The following is a 7,355-nucleotide window of genomic DNA, read 5'->3' as shown; positions in this document are numbered from 1 at the left end:
AAACCACATACACCCTGGATTTGTGCTCCTGCCAGAGGAATTAATAATGAATTCAGTTCCCATTCATGCAGGAAAGAAAGTAAGGCTTGGGGTAAAAAAAATCTCCTGGAAACATTGCCTTTGAGTTTCTGTAGAAGCTGACAAGGATTACATCTTGAATAGAGCTGACAAAGTCATAATTCAAGTTAAAGTGTTAGTTTGAAATTGTACGAGCCTTATCACAGACAGCATCATTACCTAGTATTTGTATATAAGTCTACAGATTACAAGAGACACTTAAAAATGTCTTCTCATTTAAAGCTAATTGTGTTCATTTTCAGCTGAGAAACTAAACCTCAGGGAAGTCAGGTCATTAGTGGCAGAACCACCTCTTGAACTCTGGTTACCATTTGCAAAAGCCTTTTCTTGTTCCACCAGATGATGTGGGCTCTTGTTGTACCAGGATTTCCTGTTTCCAAGAGTAGTGATTTTTCTATTGATGCTGGTCTTGTCCTCCAAGAGTATGGGACTCATCAAAAAGAAACAAAAAAGAAAAATGTGATTGTGGTCACATGTCATAAGGGAGAAGATTGATAATCAGAGCTGATTGGACAAGTGAATGTTTGCAGAGTGTTTGTGGCAGACAGATTTGAGTCCTGTCTATGTACCACTAAACATCTCCATGAATGTGGAAACTTGGTGCTTGGTTCTGCAAATACGTGACTTTGTGGTTGGAGGATAAAGAGGCTTTTTGTAGAAGGTAGAAAGGCTTGTTTTGTTTTTTTCTGATTTGGGGCCATGTTAGTCTCTGGCCTTGGGTGGGGTCAGTGTGGAACAGGTTGAGGAAGGAGTCACTCAACGATGGGTCAGAAAACTCAGGGATCTGGGAATAGATTCTGACACAAGGGAGTTGGACCAGGACTGGGATCACTGACTGGGGAGGAAGCTGGCCACAACCACATTGTTTGGGATTTGGAGTTAGCCAGATCTGATCCCAATTCCAGCCCTTCCTTATACTGGCTGTGCGACCTTGGACAAGTCATTTAACTTTCTTTGTCCCTTGTTTTCTCTACTAAAAATCAGGGACGGTACTATTGCCTGTCCTGAGTATTGATTTGTTTTGACTATCCCATGAGATCTTAAGCTGGTTAGGGCTTTAGAGAAGCAGCTGGCTGAGCTAGAGTCCATGGGTCAAATCCAGCCTGCTCCCTGTTTTTGTACAGCCCATGAGCAAAAAATGGTTTTTGCAATTTTAAATGGTCAGAAAAAAATCAAAAGAACAGTATTTTGTGACACATTGTATATAATGGAAATTATACAAAATTAAAAATATATATAATTATATGTAATTATATAATTTACATATAAGTATAAAATATACCACATATAATTATATATATATCCTTGTTATATAATTTGCAATGTTATATATTATATTTTAAAAAATCAATATAAAGTATAAATTATGTATTTACAGGTAAATTAATTTTGGTATCTATAAAGAAAAATTTATTGAACAATAGCCATGGTAATTTATTTTTACTATTGTCTACACTACTTTCATGTTTCAGTGGCAGAGTTTAGTAGTGTGTCAGGGACCAGATGACCTGCTAACCTAAAATATTTCCTATCTGCCCTTTACAGAAAAATTTAGCTGACACTTCTTTTATAAAGCTCAAAGTGCTCAGACAACACTGTAGGGTAAGTGGGTAAGTGGTATTACTCTTTTCTGCAGGTGAGAAAAGAGACACCCCAGAGAGAAAAAGTGAAGTTAATGTCGCCCAGTTTAAAAAATGAACAAACAAGAAAATACCAGAGTTTGCCCTGAAACCTAAACTTTTAACTGCATCTGACATTCTCTTAATCCATGATTATAAATCCCTACCCAAGTTTTTAGACTTTGGTAAAATGGTTGACAAACGTGAGATCAAGTTGTATCAGAGAGATTAGCAACTAGGGGAAAAAGCCAGAGTGAGGGAGCACAGGTTACAAATGCAAGAACTAAAACACTGGGTATCTTCACCACCAGAGCAGAAATTCTAGCACTGTCAAGATCTCCAAGAGGAGATATGAGCATAAGAGAAACATAAGAGAAATCTGCCAACTTCACCAGTGATTAAAGAAGGGCAAATTTTTTTCAAAATGAGGTATCACTTATACATTCTAAATTAGCAAAAATGTTAAATAATCATGACACCCAATATAGGTGATGTTGTGATGAAACTGAAGTACTTACACATTGCTCATGGCAACATAAATTAGTTAAAAATACCCCACTAACTTTAATTTGGCACTATATATTAAGAGTTTCAAAAACACTCATACTCTTTAATTCATTGATTCCTTTTCTGAAAATCTATCCTTAGAAAATAATTCTAAATTCAGAAAAATAATATCCACCAAGATTGTCATTGCAATGTAATTTTAGCACCAATTTGGAAGTCACCAAAAACTAGTGAGCTGGTTAAGTAAATTGTGCTACATTGACCCAATGCAAATATTATGCAACTATGAAGGACCAGACAACAGCATAGGGAAAAAATGATTATATTATGAAGCAAAAAAAAAAAATCAGAATGAAGAATTATAATTCTAAGGTTCTGTGCTATACAAAAGTTATGTCTATACTGGAACAAGCAGAAATAAAAACAGGTGATTTATTAAGGTGATTGTCCTCTAAATCCATTATTTATTTATTTATTTATTTATTTATTTGAGATGGAGTCTCACTCTGTTGCCCAGGCTGGAGTGCAATAGGGTGATCTCGGCTTACTGCAACCTCTGCCTTCCGGGTTCAAGTGATTCTCCTTCCTCAGCCTCCTGAGTAGCTGGGATTACAGGCATGTGCCACCATGCCCGGCTAATTTTTGTATTTTTAGTAGAGACAGGGTTTCACCATGTTGACCAGGCTAGTCTCGAACTCCTGATCTCGTGATTTACCTACCTCAGCTTCCCAAAGTGCTGGGATTACAGGCATGAGCCACCTCACCCATCCTTAAATCCATTTTTATAACATAGACTAGATAGTGAAAAGTCTTCTTCTGGATATGAAGTCAGAATTGAGTGAGTTGCTATGTTGGCTGATACCTACACCAAGACCTTGTTCTTCCCTCTACTTTGGGCCAGGATAGGATTCAGAGCTGGAGGACAGGTGGGGTTGAGAAGGCATTGCTGCCAGAGTTTGACAGGTAAGTAAAGAGGAGACCAGAAGTGTGCGAGATCTCTGTCAATAGATATTTACTGAGACCTCTCAGCCAGCATGATGATTGAGCTGCCATGAAAAGAGACTGGCTTCAGAGTCAAAGCCTAGAGATGCAGACTTGGCCTTCAACGCAGGAAGGCTCACTCAGGTGTGAGGAAACATGAGCAGGAGGCATGGTCTAGCACCCAGTTATGGAGATGGGCTCTGTGGCTGGCCCTGTGTTGGACATCAAGAAGACAAGCAGGAAACAGACTCAGCTCTGTCCCCAATGAACCTGTAAGAGTACAGTCATGATACACAGGATACTGCAGGAATAAAGAAACGTTAAACACACAGGAATCACCTGGAGGAGGAGAGGCCTCCAGCACAGTGTGAATGTCTCTGCTGTTCTCTGAACCTCTCCTGTTGGCCTTATTGATGATTGTTCCTGCACTGATTGAACACTAATGTTATTCTGGGTTCTCATCTAGCTTCTCACCATTTATGGATTTTAATAATGGCCTTGTAGAACATTGCACATGGGAAGCCCTGTGAAGATATTTTGCATCTTTTCTGGGTAAAGACTCCCCATAGCGCTTCTCTTGTTTGATTTCTTACACTAAACTGAATTTTTCCCTTCATGAAAATCCTGTCCTATCACAGAGTGACCCTCTGATGCAAATTTTCCCTGGCTTCAGTAATTTATCTTTCTGATTCCTGGTTCTTTCTTCTTCCTGTGTCAGTTTTTGGTACCACCTCCCACAGCCCCTCCTCCCCTTAAGCCCCACTCTGTTTTCTCCCTGGGAGATGGTAGCAGGGCCTCTGCCCTCCTAGAGGCATCAGGGCAGAGAGAGAGAAGACATGTTTGCCAAGAACTCTGAGTACCAGGGGAGGCTGAGCTGATGAGACTGGAAAGATGGCTATGAAAGATTGGCATATGCCTATTGGCACTGCAAGGGGGACAGGCTGTCCTGGTGGAGGGGATTGTGTGAACATGCACCCAGAGGCAAGACTATGAGGGGCTTACTTGGGGAACAGTGAGTGGCTCAGTTTGGAATTATTCCAAGAGTTTTATTTGTATTAATCCAATTTTCTGGAGATATGGAGCATGGTATGAGAAATGGGATTTATCTTGGATGAGACCCTAGGAAAAAAGCGGGTCGTCTAGGGGGACTACGCAGGGCTTCTCTCCCCAGACCTTCAAATGGTACACTGGCCCCAGGAAATCTTGAACTTGCCTAACAAGTTATTAGGAAATATTAACAGTCCCAGTAAAAGCAGCAGTAAACTAAACGCTGTCTAAACAAGCTCCCCGCATTTCTGTCATATTATCATCATCATAATGATCATCATCTACCAAGTGCCCCTGTGAGGTATTATTGTTTCCATTTTATAGATGAGAAAATTGAGGCTCACAGAAGTTAAGAGACTTGCCCAAGATCACACTGCTGGTAATGGTTGAGGGCAGGATTCAAATCCAGGCCCATCACGCCTCAAAGCTTATGCCCTGTTAGCATCGTTTTGTTGTCCCCAGATATGTGTGATGGTGCGGTGGTGAGGGTGGCTTGGGTTAACCACTTGCCAGCTGCTTGTGTTTTGCTTCAGGAACTGAGAGGAAGTTTGGCATGCTTTAACGGCATTTTAAGAAGTTATCTGAGGGGCAGGCTTCTGGCAAACTGAGTGCTTCAGCTGCAGAGAAAAAGGACCCAGCTGCACCTTCTGTGAAACTGAAACTGGGGTCACTGGGATGGGCCCTCCTGGAGTAGGATGACAGGAGAGATGGGAATGCTGGGACCTGTGGGGGGAAGAATAATGCAGCTGCTAACAGCTGCCCAGATGAAAGCAGTGATGTTGCTAGGAGAATAAATAACATCTGTTGACCTCTGGACAGCTCTTTGTGGTTTACAGAGCTCCTTTGCTTTCGTCATTTCATGACCATCTTGCTCCAAATGAGGGGAGTTGGGGTGAGAATCTCCCCTTTACAAATCACCAAAATAAAGATTCAGAGATGCTGTGTGATTTTCCTCGGGTCACACAGCTTGTTAGCAGTATCATTTGCATATGATTTGCATTCAAGTTTCCTAAAACCATCCTTCCCACCCAATTCCGCTTTCATATCTCCGGAAGCAGCCGGACCCAAGGAGGTCTTTCTGAGGATAGGCTGCCAGAACAGCCTCAAAGGTGTCATCTTAATGCGAAGTCCACAGAGGAAATGAGGAAGCAGATGAGAGGTACATGCAGAACTCACCAAAAGAACAGGGCAGCAAATCCACCTCAGGTGAGACCCAGTTTCAAAGGACTAAGGAAGGGAATGGCGGGGTTGAGCCTAGCTAGGAGGTAAAAGGAGAGGCTGCCTGGAGAACAGGGACTCTTTTCTTTATTTGTGAGAAAAGCAAATTTTGAAAGACAGACATCATTACCAGAATGTGGGCAAAGCCCAACTATGTAATGGAGATTATATGAAAACAGAAGGTTGGTATGTAATATTTTTAAGTACGCAGGAGAGCATCAAAACTGGATACACTCTTGATACTTATTAAAGCTGACTTTTTTTAAGGGCATTATTGGGAATGAAGAAATTGAATTTCCAGATTTCTTGAGCCAGATGACGGTCTTTGGCATGTTTTGGGAAGCGTAATCCCAGGCCCCTTTGAGTCCCATTCCAGTCTCCAGTTGGAGCGTTGAGGCTGCTGACCAAACAGCCTGGTCTGGCTATTTCCTGCATATCAACCATGCCTTGGGCTCTTGGCTGTGCTTTTGTTTGGATTCCATAAGCTGCAGTGAGTAATATTCATGAATCCTATTCTGAAGATGTTAATTACTCTTTAAGAGTACTATTATTGGATATCACAAACTTTTAAAAAAACTAGCCACATAAGAGTTGCAATCAGTCCCCTAAGCTACATAACCTGGAAGAGTATGTTTTAAAAGTAATTTGCTTTTTATATTCCATGAGAAGTTTAGCAATTTCAGTATTAAGGAGCATTGCTTTATTCATCTTCAAGTTTGTTTTCTAAGACATCCCAAAATAAATTTATTACAATTAGTGAATGTAATCATTTAAGGACCAGTAATTCCTAACAGTATTTAGAAAGAGGATGATAATGATACAGATATTTTTTAAAATTCAGCTTAATTGATGACTTCTACTGAAGGGCCATTTGTACTGAATGGGGGCTTGATGTATTGTGGATTTCACTAGATAAATGGATGACATTATTCTTTTTTTTGAGACGGAGTCTCGCTCTGACATTATTCTTTATTTTTAAAGTGTTTATTATTCTCTATTTTTAAAGTGTTTATTTGGGGTTGAGGTATTACAAACTGTGGCCATCAGGAAAGTTGGGAAATGTCAGGGTCAGATTATAGGGAGCATGTGGTACGGGGCCCTGTCCTGGTTGGAGAGGCCAAAGAGGAACCACAGTGGACCCCAGCCCAAGAGATAACAGATCTGAGAACTTAGGGCTCAATGTGGGAGTTGTAGTCACTGCACAAATCCACCCTTAAGCTGGCAGGTACTGGCGAGCGGGGAGCAGGAGACGGGGCAGGAGAATACTTTGTTTGGACAGTGAGCTGGGCAGGGCTCTGTGGCCCCTTGGGCTTCTTTGAAGACTCGGGGCCTGGATGGTGATGGTCTGGACCCAAAGCTGTAGTTACATGTAGCCACGAGCTGATATCTATCTGCATGGAGGAAGCCATGGAGTACAATTACATTACGTTTAGGAGCCCCTGGGAAGTGTCCTTAAAAATAGATTTAATTACAGGCAAGAATTCAAAATCTGCTCTGTGTTAATCTCATGTGTTAAACTTTTTGGTTGTATTTAATGGAAGTCATAATTATCTTGAGACTTTTTTAATCCAAAGAAAACAATTTTAGGACAAAATATTTAGCAGGTGTAAGTTAATGTGCTGAGGCACAGAAAACATGGAACAGAGTTTGTGTTCCAACCCCAGACCCACTGATGGCCAGCTGTGGACAAGGGGCAGGTCACTCAACCACTGTGAGGATCATATTCCTCGCCTGTATCCTGAGGATTAGGCAAAGCACAAAATCAATGAAAGTAATCGTAATGAGTTGCAAAAGGCCCTGCATGGGTGAGGTAGTGGTTTTGATAACAAATGACAGACCTGAGTTCAAAATCCTGGCTGTATAACTTACCACACCTGCAACCTCTCTGAGCCTCAGTTTTCTCAT

General features: G+C 41.1%; 1 annotated feature.

Moving 5' to 3' along the window:
• Nucleotides 4,749-4,998: an enhancer, noted in NCBI's record as "active region_28712". NCBI's record gives its function as "activates an Ori minimal core promoter by ATAC-STARR-seq in GM12878 lymphoblastoid cells {active_cell/tissue: GM12878}" and the evidence as "EXISTENCE:reporter gene assay evidence [ECO:0000049][PMID:35858748]".

The sequence above is a fragment of the Homo sapiens genome, chromosome 9 (genome assembly GCF_000001405.40).
Source record: "Homo sapiens chromosome 9, GRCh38.p14 Primary Assembly".
NCBI classification, from domain to species: domain Eukaryota; kingdom Metazoa; phylum Chordata; class Mammalia; order Primates; family Hominidae; genus Homo; species Homo sapiens.
This window is presented reverse-complemented; position numbering and strand designations above follow the sequence as displayed.